This window comes from Homo sapiens, chromosome 4 (genome assembly GCF_000001405.40).
Source record: "Homo sapiens chromosome 4, GRCh38.p14 Primary Assembly".
Lineage (NCBI taxonomy): Eukaryota > Metazoa > Chordata > Mammalia > Primates > Hominidae > Homo > Homo sapiens.
Genome location: NC_000004.12, coordinates 151,257,408 through 151,275,920, shown reverse-complemented (window position 1 = coordinate 151,275,920; position 18,513 = coordinate 151,257,408). Strand labels below are relative to the sequence as shown.

Genomic DNA, 18,513 nt, shown 5'->3' with positions numbered 1-18,513 from the left:
CAGTGAGCCAAGATGGCGCCACTGCACTCCAGCCTGGGCGACAGAGCGAGACTCCGTCTAAAAAAAAAAAAATAATAATAATAATAATAATAATAGAAGTGGCTGGGCGTGGTAGCTTACGCCTATTATCCCAGCACTTTGAAAGGCTGAACGGGGAGGATCCCTTGAGACCAGGAGTTTGAGATCAGCCTGGGCAATACAGTGAGACCCTATATCTACAAAAATTTAAAAATTAGCCTGGTGTAGTGATGTGCACCTGAAGTCCCCAGCTACTCGGGAGGCTGAGGCAGGAGGATCACTTGAAGTCAGTAGTTCAAGGCTACATGAGCTATGACTGTACCACTGTGCTCCAGCTTGGGCGACGGAAAGAACCTGTCTCAAATAATAATGGAAGACCAGAAAATGTAGATATTTTGGTAAGAACTATTCAGTTACAGGCAACTGAGGCTCACTTAAGCTAGCTTAAATCAAGAGGAGATTATTTTAAAGCTATTGTTTTGAGCTGAATTATGTCTCCTCAAAAATGTATCTTGAGGCTGGGCATGGTGGCTCACGCCTGTAATCCCAGCACTCTGGGAGGCCGAGGCGGGTGGGTCACGAGGTCAGGAGATCGAGACCATCCTGGCTAACACAGTGAAAACCCGTCTCTACTAAAAAATACAAAAAATTAGCCGGGTGTAGTGGCGAGTGCCTGTAGTCCCAGCCACTTGGGAGGCTGAGGCAGGAGAATGGCGTGAACCCTGGAGGCAGAGCTTGCAGTGAGCCGAGATCGCGCCACTGCACTCCAGCCTGGGCGACAGAGCAAGATTCCGTCTCAAAAAAAAAAAAACGTATCTTGAAGTCCTAACCGCACTTCCATACTTCAGAGTATGACAATATTTGGAGATAAGGTCTTTAAAGAGGTAATTATATTAAAAAGAGGTCATTAGGTTGGGTTCTAATCTCATATGAGTGATGTCCTTAGAAGAGGAAATGTCATGTACGTGACATCTATAGAGGGAGAAGACAGCTATTTACAAGCCTAGGGTGCCTGAAACAAATCCTTCCCTCATGGCCCTCAGAAAGAACCAGCCATGCTGATACCTTGATCTTGGACTTCCAGCCTCCAGAACTGTGAGGAAATAAATTTCTGTTGGTTAAGTTCGTCTAGTCTGTGGTACTTTGTTACAGCAGCCCTAGCAAACTTATGTAGATGTCTATGGAATAATAAGAACAGGATAACAGGGACACCTGGAGCTGCCATAGGACAACCCTGAAGACCAGAGCTGGAAAGGAGCTCTGGATTCATGACAGCTTAAGAGCTCATAGCAGGATCTTCTCTCTGGTTCTCTGCTATTAATATGGCTCAACCGAATTCCATGTCATTTCTTTCTGTCCTACTATAAACTGCTCAAGTTGTTCCCTATTTTCAGTTCAGACTCCCAAGACGTCTTATTTGGCACAGATTATCTTTTCTAACCAGGATATAGGTTCATGGCCATGGATTAACTGTCCTTGGGGTAAGTACCCTCATATGGGAAGGTGAGAAGATGGGGATGCAGAAATATGGCCAGCTCAGTTGCAGGGGCTATTGTGGCAGGGCAGATGCCAGGTTTGCTATATCTCAGTAAAGTAGCATAAAGATGTTTACCTCTTTAAATACATTTTAAAAGATTTTAGAAGTGAACACGTGAAAAAAATCTCTCCATTTGCTTTTTTAAGCAAACACTGCAACACCATGAATTTTTACCAAATTTATGTTTTTAAAATTCATTTGTTTTCATTTGTGTCTGCTTGATGGGGATGAAAATCTACTACTACTATTACATTTGTGATAGTTTCTGAATACATTTTTAATGGTTCTTGTTTTGTGTATCCAATTTTGTTTTTGTGGTTTATGCATTCACTCTGGTTTTCTGCTACTCACTGATTTTATCATTATACAATGACTCTTAGTATTTTTCATCTTAATTTTTTCTGAAATTAACATTACAACCGGCAGTTTTCTCCAGCTCGTTTCATTGAAGAAAAAGATTTCTTATTCATAGCACAACCATCTTTGTGAATATTCCAATTAATTTATGGTATTCACAGACAATTTTAGCTATTGAGTTAACTCACTTAATATAGTTCTTTTAAAAGGTCAGACCTCAGTTTGAGATTTGCCTTCTGATCATGTTTAGAGTAAAGGTAGCTTATTATTCATTTTGCAGAGACCTGAAAGCTTTGGACAGATCTTTCTGTTGACTTACCACAGGAGCAAAAAACTTGACCAGAGAGTCCTTTCCCTCTGAGGATTTTGTGGTTGTCCCAGGTCTTTGGACTTCTTTTTTTTTTTTTTTTTTTTTTTTTGAGATGGAGTCTCGCTCTGTCGCCCAGGCTGGAGTGCAGTGGCGTAATCTCGGCTCACTGCAACCTCCGCCTCCGAGGTTCAAGCGATTCACCTGCCTCAGCCTCCCGAGTAGCTGGGACTACAGGCGCCCACCACCACGCCCAGCTAATTTTTTGTATTTTTAGTAGAGACGGGTTTTCACCATGTTAGCCAGGATGGTCTCAAACTCCTGACCTCGTGATCCACCCGCCTCGGCCTCCCAAAGTGCTGGGATTACAGGTGTGAGCTACCGTGCCTGGCTGGACTTTTATTAATACATCACTGGACAAATCGGAAGTACTGGCTTATACCCTTTATATGTTAGTTGGATTGCTCACAGAATCTCTCCTCTCCTTTGTTTAAATGTTTTGTAAATAGATATTTCAGTTTTGGTATCTGTTAAATTTAGTTGGAAATAAACTCTACATCAGTTACTGATGTAACTAAGGCACCAGTACTTTATTTTGAAAATTGGAAGGTAAAAGGAAAGAATTAAATAGTTATCCTAGTTTTCCTGTATAAAGTGTAATTCAGAGTATCAAAATAGGTTTAGTTGGTGAGAGAAGAATTCCAACTAATAAATGTAGTTGGACCAGCAGCATTAGAAAATCACCACTTACAGCCCCTCATGTAATAATTGATTCAAGGAATGACTATCAAGTCTTTAGATGAAAAGTTGATAAGAGAGCTGAGGCTGTTACCATTTGAACCCTCTGATCACTCTTAGCATCACTAAAAGTGGGACAAGGCAGACATGTGCCTCCTGATGTTACCCCCTATGAAGTATCCTTGTTAAAAAAAAAAAAAGAAAAGTGAAACCTGAATCTCTAAAGCTACTTTCACTTGCAGCAAATATAAGGGATAAAGGAGTAAGTCAGATTACAACTTAAGGAAGTAGATAGACAAATCCAGAATGTAGGACATTTTACAAAGCAGCTGACCCAGTTACTGTTGTAAGTCCATGTTGTGAAGGTAAAAAAGGGAGAGAGACTGCTCTAGATTATGACACTTAAGAGACATAAGTGTGTTTGGATCCTGATTTAACAAACCAGTTTATTGTTAATCTTGACAGGTGTGATAATGGCATTTAGCTTTGTAAGAAAATATCTATTCCTAAAGACAAAGGTGGGACCCTCTTAACCCTTTCTAAATCTAAGCTAAAATGATGTATCATTTTGGAGAAAGTTCCTCTGGTTTTCAGCCCACAGTGCTATTCTTTCGTTTTCATGGGTATGGCTGTATTACCTTATTACCTTAAGCAAGTCATCTTTTCCCTAAGGCTTTTATTTTCCCATTGTACCATGAAGGTGCTGGAATCAGTTGATGATCTCAAAGATTAAATTATGCATTGCTTGTTTATCACCGTATTTTATCTATTTATCTTTGCCTTTTGCCTACATTATCTGTCTATAAATAGTTTCTTCCTTTTTATTCAGTAATCAAGAAACATGTTGGATCTGCCATTTTACTGCTTCACTGGCTCTTATAAGGAAGTGCCAAAGAGTTGGAAGCAAGAGAGTGGGTTCTTAATGCTCACCCCAAGGACTTTCCTGAACACAGCTCTTACAGTTTCTTCCTCTCTCATCGTGCCGTGTCTTCAGGTCTTAGATTATCTGTCCCCAGATTATTACCCTATGCCATCATTAACGTTATCTTTAAATACCTCTGCCATACACAATAAATATAATAATAATTGCTGCAAAATAGGAATAATAATATCCCACAAGATTTTCATAAGAAATGAGATATTATAGAGTTAATACTTAGCTTGGGTTTGGCCTATTTAGCATGTGATAATTAATGGCAGCTGTTATTTTTATTATTGTTGTTATTGAACTCATTTCTCAGCTTTAAGTATTTAATTCTACCCAAACAGTTTATCTTGGTGATGGCTTGGATTGATGTTGATGGTACCTATTGACCAGGGCTTCTCAACCTTGGCACTATTGACATTTTGGGCCAGATGATTCTTTGTTGTGGGGTAGCTAGCCTGTTCATTGCAGGATATTAAGCAGCATCCCTAATCTCTACCTATTAAATGCCAGTAATACCTACTACACCTAGTTGTGACAACCAAAAATATCCCCAGACATTGCCAAATGTCCCCTGGGAGAACCACTGCTGTAAAGCAAAGATGCTACTTCAAGAATTCAGTCTTCTTTTGAGCACCCTGAGGATAAAACAGGGAAAACAATAGATTTGCAAGTTTTGTAGCTTTTTATCTGTATTAACAGAAAGGGCAAATGGACACCATTGTCTGTTTTCTAATTCAACCCATCAATCAGTCTACTATATTGGAAAATGAATAGCTCTCCTTATAAAACAGTCTCCTAAAGAATATCTGAGGCCACGCATAGTGGCTCATGCCTATAATCCTAGGCCTTTGGGGGGTCAAAGTGAAAGGATTGCTTGAGCTTAGGAATTCAAGACCAGCCTGGACAACATAATGAGACCCCCATCTCTACAGAAAAATTAAAAAATTAGCCAGGCGGGGTGTTGCATGTTTGTAGTCCCAGTTACTCAGGAGGCTGAGGTGGGAGGATTGCTTGAACTTGAGAGGTTGAGACTGCAGTGGGCTATGATTGGGACACTACACTCCAGCCTGGGTGACAGAGTTGAGACCCTGTCTCAAAAAAAAGAATAATTGACTTCTCTAGTACGTGTATATCAGGCCTTGGCTTTTGCCTTTGTGTACTAAAAGGTCCAGTCTAGTTTTAGTTTTTGAACTTGGACAAGAAATTTTTTGTGAAGCTTTTGTTTCACAAATCAGTAAGTGCTAGAATTAGTCCATATACAGTCATGTGCCTCATAATGACATTTCAGACCACTTATACTAGGTTGGTTCCATAAGATTATAATGGAGCTGACAAATTCCTATTGCCTAGTGACATTAGAGCTGTAGGGCAATGCATTACTCAAGTGTTCATGGTGGTGCTGTTATAAACCTACTGACTGCCAGTTGTATAAAAGCATAACATATACAATTACATACAGTACATATGTGGCAGGCCATTCTTCTATTGCTGTAAAGAAATACCTGAGACTGAGTAATTTATAAAGAAAGAGCTTTAATTGGCTCATGGTTCTGCAGGCTGCACAGGAGGCATAGCGGCATCTGCTTCTGAGAAGGCCTCAAGAAGCTTCCAATCATGGAAGAAGGCAAAGGGTGAGCAGGCACATCACATGGTGAAAGCAAGAGAGAGAGTGGGGAGGTGCCATACACTTAATGAACAGAAGTCACACACTATTTTGAGGATAGTACCAAGAGGATGGTAATAAACCATTCAGGAGAAACTCACCCCTGTGATCCAATCACCTCCCACCAGGCCCCACCTCCAACATTGGGGATTACAATTCAACATGAGATTTGAGTGGGGTCAGCATCCAAACTATATCAACATAATACCTGATAATGATAATAAATGAGTATGTTACTTCTTTATGTATTTATTATGCTATACTTTTAATCATTATTTTACAGTGTACCCTGTCTACTTTAAAAAAAAAAAAAGTTAACTGCAAAACAGCTTTAGGCAGGTCTGTCAGGAAGTATTCTGCAAAAGGCATTGTTATCATAGTAGATGACAGCTCCATACATGTTATTGCCCCTGAACACCTTCCAGTGGGACAAGATGTGGAGGTGGAAGACAGTGATACTGATGATCCTGACCCTGTGTAGGCCTAGGCTAATGTGTGTGCTTGTGTCTTAGTTTTTTTGTTTTTGTTTTTTTTTAAAGAAAAGCTTAAAAGGTAAAAATAAAAAATTTTTAAAAAGAGAAAAAAGCATATAGAATAAGGATACAAGGAAAGAAAATATTTTTGTACAACTATACAATGTGTTTGTGTTTTAAGCTAAGTGTTATTAGGAGAGTCAAAAGTTCTTAAAAATCAAAATGTTTATAAAGTAAAAAAGTTATAGTAAGCAGAGATTAATTTATTATTAAAGAAAACTTTTAAAAATACACTTAGATGGATTAAAGACTTAAACATTAGACCCAAAACCATAAAAACCCTAGAAGAAAAGCTAGGCATTACAATTCAGGACATAGGCATGGGCAAGGACTTCATGTCTAAAATATCAAAAGCAATGGCAACAAAAGCCAAAATTGACAAATGGGATCTAACTAAACTCAAGAGCTTCTGCACAGCAAAAGAAACTACCATCAGAGTGAACAGGCAACCTACAAAATGGGAGAAAATTTTCGCAACCTACTCATCTGACAAAGGGCTAATATCCAGAATCTACAATGAACTCAAACAAATTTACAAGAAAAAAAACAAACAACCCCATCAAAAAGTGGGCAAAGGACATGAACAGACACTTTTCAAAAGAAGACATTTATGCAGCCAAAAAACACATGAAAAAATGCTCACCATCACTGGCCATCAGAGAAATGCAAATCAAAACCACAATGAGATACCATCTCACATCAGTTAGAATGGCAATCATTAGAAAGTCAGGAAACAACAGGTGCTGGAGAGGATGTGGAGAAATAGGAACACTTTTCCACTGTTGGTGGGACTGTAAACTAGTTCAACCATTGTGGAAGTCAGTATGGCAATTCCTCAGGGATCTAGAACTAGAAATACCATTTGACCCAGCCATCCCATTACTGGGTATATACCCAAAGGACTATAAACCATGCTGCTATAAAGACACATGCACACATATGTTTATTGTGGCACTATTCTCAATAGCAAAGACTTGGAACCAACCCAAATGTCCAACAATGATAGACTGGATTAAGAAAATGTGGCACATATACACCATGGAATATTATGCAGCCATAAAAAATGATGAGTTCATGTCCTTTGTAGGGACATGGATGAAATTGGAAATCATCATTCTCAGTAAACTATCGCAAGAACAAAAAACCAAACACCGCATATTCTCACTCATAGGTGGGAATTGAACAATGAGAACACATGGACACAGGAAGGGGAACATCACACTCTGGGGACTGTTGTGGGGTGGGGGGAGGGGGAGGGATAGCATTAGGAGATATACCTAATGCTAAATGACGAGTTAATGGGTGCAGCACACCAGCATGGCACATGTATACATATGTAACTAACCTGCACATTGTGCACATGTACCCTAAAACTTAAAGTATAATAATAATAAAAAAATACACTTAGTGTAGCCTAAGCGTACAGTGTTTATAAAGTCTACAGTAGTGTACTATCATGTCCTAGGCGTTCACATTCACTCACTGCTCACTCACTGACTCATCCAGAGCAACTTCTATTCCCGCAAGCTCCATTCACAGTAAGTGCCCTATATAGGTGTACCAGTTTTTATCTTTTATAATATATTTTTACTGTACCTTTTCTATGTTTAGATACATAAATACGTCCCATTGTGTTATAGTTGCCTACAGTGTTCAGTACAGTAACTTGCTGCACAGGTTTGTAGCCTATGAGCAATAGACTATAGCATGTAACCTAGGTGTGTAGTTGGCTGTATCACTGAGTTTTGTGTCATTTCACTCTACGATGTTCACACAATGACGAAATCACCTAATGACACATTTCTCAGGACGGATCTCCATCATTAAGCAACATGTCATGTACTTAGCATCTGTTATGTCAGGGCCAAGCCTTGGACAACCTTTCACAGACAATCTTCTTTCTCTTCCTGGCTGTTTGCTTTATTGACCAGTCTACAGGTTTCCCTGGACTGCACTCATCTCCTCCACAGGGACTAATCTTTCTCTGAGCACCATCCTACTTGCTTGAAACACTAATGCCCTTTAAAACCAGTCCCCCTTTACAGGGGGGACTGGTTATTTTGATCACCAACTAATGCACCTGTTCTTTTGGTCACTAACAAAATACATTTCCCTTTTTATGTTTATTCACTTCTCATACTAAAGGAATTCTTCCCTATTTTTTTGACAGCTGGCTTTCTATAGTCTATAGTTCTCATTTTGTTAATTGAAAAAAACAAGATTTGATACTTTGTTTGCAGGATACTACGTGTTGTTAGAAGGTCAAAAAGATGAATAGGACATTAGTTAATTTTCTCAAGTCTGTTTTTATCTATTCAGAAGGAAAAATAAAAGCTATGTTCACTCAAGGAACTACAAATAGAGATAAGAAGTACAAGAGGTACAAATAACTAGGGCCAAAGGGCAAGTGTTATTTTGGTGTAATGTAAGGAAAAACCTTATAGCTTTCCAACAATGAACGGAGGTAATTTGGTATAGTGGAAAGAGCCTTTTTTTTTTTCTTTGACAACAGGGTCTTGCTCTGTCGCCCAGGCTAGAGTGTAGTGGCGCAATCACAGCTCACTGTAGCCTTGACCTCCCAGGCTTAATCAATCCTCCCACCTCAGCCTCATGAGTAGCTGGGACTACAGGCACGTGCCACTATGCTAGACTAATTTATTTTATTTATTTTTTTTTTTTTTTAGAGAGAGACTGAGTCTCACCATGTTGCCCAGGATTGTTGCAAACTCCTGGCCTCAAATCATCCTTCCACCTCGGCCTCCAGAAGTGCTGGGATTACAGGCGTGAGCCACCACACCCAGCTGAAAAAGCCATATTTTTGAAGTCTGACAGCCCTGGCTAGATCTGTTAAATTAAATATTAGCTGTTTAGTCTTAGGCAGATTACTTAGCCTCTTTGAACCTCAGTTTTGTGTGTTTTTATTTCATTTGTAAACGGGGCTAAATAGTACCTTCTTGAGTTGTTAAGACAAAATAAGATAATATTTAAAGTGACCAGCATAGTACTTAACACAGAGGAGTCATAAAGTAAATATGAGTTTCTGCCATTGTTAGGAAATGAGATAGATATGTCATGTTATCCAGAGAATTCACTTAGGCAGGTCTTCCATAAGCAACATGACTTGACTCAAGTAATCTCAATCTAGTCTCTGGGTTCTTAGCTTTTTAACTTCTGGACTTCAGGCCTTGTCAGAGCACCTAGAAGAGATCAAATTCAAGGGACTGACTCACTAAACTCTGAGGCTTATGTATGAACCAGAATATTTATTCTCACTAAGGGCTATTCATTTCCATTATTCGGAATTTTCACTTTTCCCAACCAGGGCACCTCTTCTTCATATGAGTCGAGCAACTAAATGTGTTGTGGTTTAAAGAGGTTTACAATGAGAACAAATGGAGGTAGCTAATCTCCATGAGCATTTCACTTACAAAGATGAAATAGCTCATCTTTACAAAAACTGAAAGACCACTTTTCTATAACAGAACATGTTTTTCTTTAAATTTAAAGTTTATATTCATTAGACTCAGGGTCTTTCTCCCTTAACAGCTTAGAATCTGATGAACACATATAGTTAACGGACTTTTCCCTTCTTAGATTCCATGCTGACTATCCTCCGTCTTAATCCTGGTTTTCTTCAACCAGTGCATAATACTGTTGATTAGATTTAAACTTTCATCGGTACGATCTCATTCCTAGTACGTTGCCTTAAGATTATACCCAAGTCTCCAAGATTACCTTCTTCCTAAAACATGAGGTGTGTATTTACTAAAATCTTTTAGGTTTGTCCTACATGTAACTATCTCATCCATTATGTGTGTTATTTTACTTGTTAACTTTCAGTTTTAGATGATTCTTGTGGGCAAGGGGTGGGCAATACTGTGTAGTGAAAATAGTTCCCATTCCCTCATTCCCAACAATGAATAATTTTCCAAAGCTGCTGTAATAAGTATAAGGGGGCCAGGCGCTGTGGCTCACACCTGTAATCCCAGTACTTTGGAAGGCTGAGGCGGGTGGATCGCTTGAGGTCAGGAGTTCATTACCAACCTGGGCAAGGGCAACATGGAGAAACCCCATGTCTCTACAAAAAATATAAAAATTAGCTGGGTGTGGTGGTGCACACTTGTAATCCTAGCTACTCCGGAGGCTGAGGCATGAGAATTGCTTGAACCTGGGAGGTGGAGGTTGCAGTGAGCTGAGATTGTGCCACTATACTCCAGCCTGGGTGACACAGCAAGACTCTGTCTTTAAAAAAAAAAAAAAAAAAAAAAAAGAAAAGAAATAAAATAAATATAAGGATTAATTGATCATTCTATTAAAAAGCAAACTTATGCCTTGAGCTTGGAGTAGTATCGGATAATTTGTAAAGTGCCTTCCAACTGTTATATTTTGTGATTTTATAACCTCCTTTTATCTCCTTCTATTTTTTGGCTCCACTATCTAGATCCATCATCTTCTCTCACATTCTATCCTCTTTTTTTTTTTTTCAACTGATTTAGCATCCCACATGTGTAGTGAGTTTACCTTTTCTTTTGCTGAAGCATTTTCCACAGTGTCAAGTATGCCTTGTTTGAAATTCTGTGGTGTTGTCATCTGCAAAAATTCTAACAAGATGTTACTGACATAAACAGTATGCCTTTGAGAATAAATTGTAATCATTCTTTATCCTGCTTATAATTTGATAATTTTTGCATTTGGGAATTTGTTTTTTTCTGAATTCTTTTTTTATATGTATGGAAAGCTTTTTAATGGCCCACATTTAATTAATTTATTATTATGTAATTACCTTTTGTGATTATTTATGAAAATTATCATTTTTAAACAATGATTTTATTAGCATTCAATTAGAATGAGGAATATTCACTTTGCAGTTGTTCATTCCACTGTCTTGCCAAAACTCCTTCCTTATTTTTTATTCTTTATTCATCAAGTAATGTAGAGCATTGTGTCTATTATTGTATTTTAATCCGCATCCTATGAAATCCAACTCAGCTCTGGTCAGCATCAGATCCCATGTTTTTAACCATTCTTTGTATATCAGAAAAAAAGGAAAAAAAGAAAATAAGGCAGCATATTTTTCATATGAAACATGTTCTTAGACTACTCTGATTGTCTACAGGATGTTACATTTTGGAAATATCTCTAGTAAACACCTTCATTAACACCAACACACCTGAGAACACAACTATAAAATTTAATCCATGACTACTAAACACAGTCAGCCTTAGCTTCTCAGGCTCTCATTCCAGACTCTTCCTGTACTCTCTGTTTGTGAAGACAGCCTTCAAGATGGCCTCCAATGATCTTCAGCTCCTGATATTCACACCTTGTTGACTTACTACTAAAGAATAGAATACTATAAGAAATAATGAGATGTTAGGGTTTTTTTTTTGTTTGGTTTTTTTTTTTTTTTTTGAGACAGAGTCTCACTCTGTTGCCCAGGCTGGAGAGCAGTGACGGGATGTTGGCTCACCCCCAGCTCCCAGGTTCAAGCGATTCTCCCCCTACCTCAGCCTCCCGGGTGGCTGGGATTACAGGCGCCCACCACCATGCCCGGCTAATTTTTGTATTTTTAATAGAGACAACGTTTCACCATGTTGGCCAGGCTGGTCTTGAACTCCTGACCTCAGGTGATCTGCCCACCTCAGCCTCCCAAAGCTGGGATTACAGACGTGAGTGAGCCACTACACCCAGCTGAGTTGTCAGTTTTGAGATTAGGTTATAAAAAGACTGTGGCTGGCCAGGCATGGTTGCCCATGCCTGTAATCTCAGTACTTTGGGAGACGAAGGCAGGAGGATCACTTGAGCTCAGGAGTTCAAGACCACCCTGGGCAACATGACAAGACTTTGTCTCCACAAAAATTTTAAAATAGCTCAGAGTGGTGGTGTGTACCTGTGGTCTCAGCTACTCAGGAGGCTGAAGTGGGGAGGATCACTTGAGCCCAGGTGGTCGAGGCTGCAGTGAGCTGTGTTTATACCACCACACTCCAGCCTGGGCCGCAGAGTGAGACTTTGTCCAAAACAACAACAACAACAACAACAACAACAACAAAAACTGTAGCTTCCATTTTGGGTGTTCTCTATTGCTCTGTCTTGGATCATTCACTCTGGGAGAAGCCAGCTGCCAAAGGCATTCCTTCAGCGAGGCCCACATGAATGGTAACAGGCACATGAGTGAGCTTGGAAGCTGATCCTTTCCTAGTTGAGCCTTGATGACTGCAGCTGTGGCTGACACAGCAGTAGCTTTTTGAAAGATCCTAAACCATAACTAACCAGCTAAGTCTTCCAGATAACTGTCCTGCAGAAACTATGAGATAATAAATGTTCATTGTTTTAGCTACTGAGTGTTGGGGTTATTTGTTGTACTGCAATAGATAACTAATATACTGCCGGGGCTCCTCCTCCGGCCTGGCCCGTTTTATCTGAAATCTTCTAATCTTCCAAGTCCCTACTTTTTCCTCAGAATCCAGTCTAATCCCAGGGTTGGATGGTTTTCATCTTGGATTAAGTAAGTGGCAAACTAACCTCTGGACCCCAGCATCTTCACCTATAGAATGTGTTGGGCTAAGTGATGTCCAGATTCCTTTAACCCTCAAGTTCTCTGCTTCTGCACTTCCCCAGGCTCTGTCTTCAATTTCATCAAAAGAATGAATATAAGAACTAATTTGTTAGAATCAACCAAATTTTATTCACTCTGGGGATCTTGTTTACTAGGCTGACTTGTGCGGGGGAAAGGCAACAAGCAAATTAGGCTTATGGGACAGCAGAACTGCGTCTGTCTTGCTGACTCTTCAAAATCTGTCTTCAGAATCCTCAACTCTGGAATTTCCTTTTTCTCTCATTCTCAACTGTCACTTTACCCAGGGCATACTGACCTCAGCCAGTTAAGGTGGCCTCAGGAAAATCAGAGGCAGAAGCATAATAGGCAGGAGCCCAGAGAGGCCCAGACTGAGGGTAGCAGAAAACTCAGCAAGCGAGATGGGAGACTTCTCAATCCAAGACTTGTAGAAATGGATGTTTGTGTATATTCCAGGCCCACTGGTTTGGATGCAGTTTGATCCCTGGCTTACCACTCCTGCCAGGACCTAGAAATCTTCAACTTGACACATCACGGGATCTCATCTACTGCCCAGAGAGAGAGAGAGAGAGAGAGAGAGAGAGAGAGAAGAATGTTGGCTAGACAGTACATAGAGCAAAGGGAAGGAGGTGAAACTCTTCAACAGTTTAGCCAAGAACTGTACAGTTAGGCCTGTCCAGACACTCCTGGGTTCACCCAGGGTCTCTGAAGATATGAGAAGTGGAGGAAGCACACTGGGGAAGGCAAGGCCTGTGAAAGGTGCCTGAGGGGTGGATTCTTACAGTACACTGATCCATCTGCCCCACTGGGAGCTTGGAGCAGATCATAGCTTCACTGATGATGAGCTCAACTCCGTGCAGCAAGATTTCATTTTGATAGTGGTCACCGCATGTCTGGAGATCAATGAGGGGCACTTTCAGCTCCTTCAGTGTATAAGAACGCTTGATATCTGTAGGGCCAAAAAGAGTCAAAGCTGTCTTAATTAAAAAGTGACTTCTGGCCATGGATACAGATTTTGTGCCTTTGATTTTCAGATAAAGCTCTAATTTCAAATATTCTGCCCCATGTTAGATAGCATCCTGATTTCTGGTTTGGGAAACAACCTAAAGGCTGAGCTCCCTGGCGCTGAACAAGACCGTGGGCAGTTGGCTCCTGTTCACATAGCACAAATTAGTAACAGAAAAATCTTGTAATTTAGGAAAACCCAAAACAGAATGCGGATTTAAGTTGTCTTCAGAATATGTATTTATTTTTCTATAGAAATAAGGGGTAGATCTAGTAAGAAGAATTACCCAGAAATGAAGCTGTACTCTCCTAGCTAGTTTGAGTCAGGAACTTTTGCTGAGTGTCCTTACTTTCCTGAACACATCTTCATGTCTCCTTCCCCTATCCACCTACCCACACACACTCCACCCAGGTATGGAGGGAAAACTATATTACTTCTCAGACTGAACAGAACTATCCTATCTCTAAATTCATTACTCTGTCCTTTTTACTTTTAAGGTCTCAGCACTATTGCTAAACAAGAACAAAAGCAGGTATCAATAAGCAAAGAGATTATAGCAGAAGAAATATGAAAGAGGCAAAGGGTCACAGAGAATTTGAAGTCTGAAGCACCTCAGATTACTGTAGTATATCTGGTGCTCTAGGGCTAGGATAGAGAGCAGGCAGAGAGAATGTCAGTCGAAGAAGTTAGAACACAGAAAATCAATGTATCCTCACATTGGAATATTCCAGTATAGCCCCATCCAGTCACCCAGCAGGAGGTTGTATTCTTCTTCAGGTAGACTTCAGATGAGGGAAGGCAGATGAGCAGGACAACAGGGCTAACAGAAACTGGGGAGGGCAGTTCTACCACAGCGATGGCACTAGATGTGTTTGCTTGGAAATCAGGGTGGGGGGATAATCTGGGACACAGGTATTATCGTCATTTTGGAGTCTGCACAACCAAAGATCTGAGCCCACCAATACACTGTATTTCCTGGCATCCTTAGACCTGAGAAGAGAAGCAGAAGAGATACCGTGGGTTTCTTGTGACTCTGCCCTGGGTCATCATAGCAGAGCCCATTGTTCTGGATATGGCATTTTTCCTCTAGTTCTTCTGAGGCTTTCATTCCTTCAAAAAGTATTGAGCATCTCCTGGTAGTATAAATGAAATTAAAATAGATACAATCTGGCCGTCACAGGGCTATAATTTTAAGGGGTGTGTAGGGGTGTGTGTGTGTGTTGGGGCAGGGAGAGAGAGACAAGCAACAAACAAGTACAAAATTTAAAATTGTGATAAATGTTATGAAGAAAACACACAATTTTAAAGTAGAGAGTAAAGGAAGCGGGGAGAGTCTTTATTGGATGGTCAGGAAAGGTCTTGTTGAGGTAACTTTTCAACTGAGTCCCAAAAGGAAGAAGTCAGCCTTAAGATCGATAAAAGCATTCCAGACAGGGAATAGAGTATGCAAGGCCTTGAGGGTGAGAAAGAGCTTGGCAGTCTCCAGGAACTGAAAGAAAAGCTGGAGAATAGGATGAGGTTGGAAAAGTGGGCAGACACCTGGTGATTCATGGCTTGTAGGCCACAATGTGTCATTTGGGTTTTATTATAGGTGCCTGGGCAACCGCTGGGGGATTCAAAGCAGGGAGTGATGTTATCTCACCTCTAACTTTAAAAAGTCATTTTTTGGTGTGTATTGAAGGTAGTAAAACCTATTATACTATTGCAAAGGTCCAGGGGTAGCTATGTTAGAGTCAAAGTATATTTTGGAAGTAAAACTGACAAGAATGGTATATGCATTGCATGTGGAAGGTGAGGGAAAGTGAGATACAATATTTGTCTTGAGTAACTGGTTACATTGGTGAATGAAATGGGGAAGGCAGAGAGAGAAAAAGATTGGGGGACAGTGATGGTGGTAAAATTACCTTTTCTGACCATGTTACCCTTGAGATGCCAAATAGAAGTGCATCAGGACTAGTGTTTGGGGCTAGAGATGCAAGTGCGAGTGTTATCAGCAAATATATGACATTTAAACCAAGGGAAATGGAAGAGGGTGGATAATGAGAAATTACTTAATGGGTACAATGTACATTATTTGGGTGATGGATACCTTAAGAGCTCTGACATCACTGCTATGCAGTCTAGGCATATAACAGAAATTATACTTGTACTCCATAAATGCATACAAATAAAATAAAAATATTTTAAAATAAGAGGCAAGTGTAAGCACACTTTCTTTCAAAAAGGAAAAAAACAAAGATGGATGAGTTAACTTAGGGGTAGTGAAGAAGGCTCAGGATTGTGCCTCTGAAGAGTGGTATGAGGTGTAGGCATGCTGCTGTAAGGGAAGGAGCCCTTCCTGGGGGATGTCTCCTGGGTAGAGGCTTCGAATTGAGGAATGGGGTGGGAGAATGTAACTATTTTTAGGTAGTCATTTCAATCAAGATAATGTTAAATTTGAAGAAGCCTGAAGTCTGAGAGTAGTTGCACTGAACTGAGAGCTAGAGTAGGAAGTATTTGAACCCATTAATAACGCACAACATAGTGTATTGGGCAGTGCACGATAAGCCCCACCCCGGCCTCTCAGGCGGTGCAGTCACCCAGGTGCCCTGATGGGTCTCCACACAGCAGGGCCAGCACTCACGGGAAGCAGATCGCCACTGTCAGCACCCACTCCTCTGAGATGAGGGTATCTGAGCAGACGTGAATCAAGCCCTGGCGGATGCTGACCTGCCAGGGCCACTGCCCCACACTAGCCCCCCAGCCTGAGGCAATACCAGATGAGACTGTGGGCCGCCCACAGACTGCCAACAAAGGGCAAGAAGACTTGGAGGGATGCAGCCTGGAATCCTGCCCCTCCACCCTCACCCCTCCATGGTCATTTCCCAAACTCAGGTCCTCTTTCCTCCTTACACAGATTCCCTTCCCTCAGTCCATCCAGGCATGCTGCCTCTGCCTGAAGTGTCTTACTTGACTTCAAGAGATTCTCTGGTTCATCCTCATTTGTCAGTTTTGGAAGTAAAACTGACAAGAATGGTATGTGCATTGGATGTGGAAGGTGAGGGGAAGTGAGGTACAATATTTGTCTTGAGTAACTGGTTATATTGTTGAATGAAATGGGGAAGACAGAGTGAGACAAGGTCTCACTCTGTTACCTGGGCTAGAAGTACAGTGGGATGATTATAGCATACTGCAGCCTAGACCTCCTAGTGGGAGAATGGGGAATATGGGAGGCACTCTTGATGGATTCTTGCTGCTACAGAGGGTCCTCACCCATGCCCTGTGCAGCCTTTCCTAGTCTGAAGCCCCTGTCCCTACCTAGGGCTTACCCCATTCTGGGGGCTCACCCGAAATCCCCAGCAGAAGGAGCAGCGTGAATGCATAGCCAGCAGTGCCCGTGTCTCTGTCCTGAGGGCCAGCACTCCCTGCCCCTGGACTCAGGATCCCAGGGAGAGGCCAGTGGGGAACACCCAGAGAAGGGGGAGCAGAACCATCTCCTCCTAGATGGACTCCTCTGCTTCACCCCCTCCTCTCCTTTGGTCTTCACCCCCTGCCAGATCCTGAAGGGACCAGACTTCAGAAGTGCAGCTCCAGGACCCAAGGGAGGAATTGGGGGGTCTGCGGCGTCCCCTGCTGTCCTGGGAGAGCAGGGTGTCTGGGATTCAGCCTGAGGGTGGGTGATGGGAGGTAAGAAAAAGGGAAGGTTGGAGGTGGGCATTGGAAGGAGCAGGGCTCGCTCAGTGCTTAGTGACCCTGGTGTTGAACAAGTCTAAGTTCACACACTTCCCTCTGCCTAAACTGCCACATCTCAGGGACCTGCCCTGGTGTGCCCATTTAATTCTCCCCTGACCAAAGGTGAACCAATGGAGGGCAGATCCCTGATTTGGGATCTCAAATGGCTGTGCAGACTGGCCACCCTAGGTCCTTGGCCTCTAGAATGGTTCTGACAGGACTGACAGGAGAAAATAAAGGGGAAATAAACCAGTCAGTTTTCTGACCAGTGTTTTCTCTCTTTCCCTTTGTGCCTCAATCATTACCTGCTCTTAGCCTTCCTTAGGTAGCAAATATGTATTAGGTCTGCGTTGTGTTAAGGATATTGTGTTAAATGTGGAACAGGATCTATAGGGAACTGCCTGCCTTCAAGGAGTTTACATCTAGTGGGAGAGAGGTGGAATAAGGAAGTAACTCAGGAGGTTTTTACTTATAATTTATATCCTGTTCATTTGAAAAGGGGGACAAGGGACTATGGAAACTAAACAAGGGACTGTGACATGGGACTATTGACAGAGCATTTGTATGTGTGGCACAGACTATTCAGCCTCATTCCTGGCTCTCCCAAGGACTGGCTTTGTTGGTTGCTTTTTTTATTTTTAGACAGACTCTCACTCTCTTACCTAGGCTAGAAGTACAGTGGCATGATCGTAGCATACTGCAGCCTAGACCTCCCAGGCTCAAGCGATCCTCCCTCCTCAGTCTCTGGAGTAGCTGGGACTACAGGCATGCGCCACCACACCTGGCTAATTTTTTGTAGAGATAGGGTCGTGATATGTTGCCCAGGCTGTTCTCAAACTCCAGGACTCAAGCAATCCTCCCTCCCCAGGCTCCCAAAGCATTAGGATTACAGCCTTGAGCCACCGCACCCAGCCACGGTTACTATTTTTAATAGCATGATGATGATGATGATGATGATTAATAACATAATAATGATGATGAAGAAGAAGAAGAAATAGTTGTTGAGACCCTTTAATATTCCAGGCCCAGTGCCTGGCACAGGAGGGCATCATGTGTACAGTAAAAATGAACAGAGTTAGAAGGGCCATAGAAAAAACTGGGGAAGATTATACTTCCAAAAATCAAGGCTGGGATTATTATA

The 18,513-nt window shown here is 41.4% G+C and overlaps 1 protein-coding gene and 1 long non-coding RNA gene across 5 annotated transcripts in view; both read left to right on the top strand.

Annotated features, from left to right (window-relative positions):
• SH3D19 (SH3 domain containing 19) overlaps positions 1-18,513 on the top strand; it is a 205,325-nt gene that overhangs the window by 49,685 nt on the left and 137,127 nt on the right. The window lies entirely within an intron of this gene.
• The window catches only part of LOC124900799 (uncharacterized), a 28,348-nt gene continuing 10,597 nt past the window's right edge, over positions 763-18,513 (top strand). The window contains exon 1 of the long non-coding RNA XR_007058328.1: positions 763-16,676. This is a non-coding gene — a long non-coding RNA (uncharacterized LOC124900799). The remainder of the gene's footprint in view (positions 16,677-18,513) is intronic.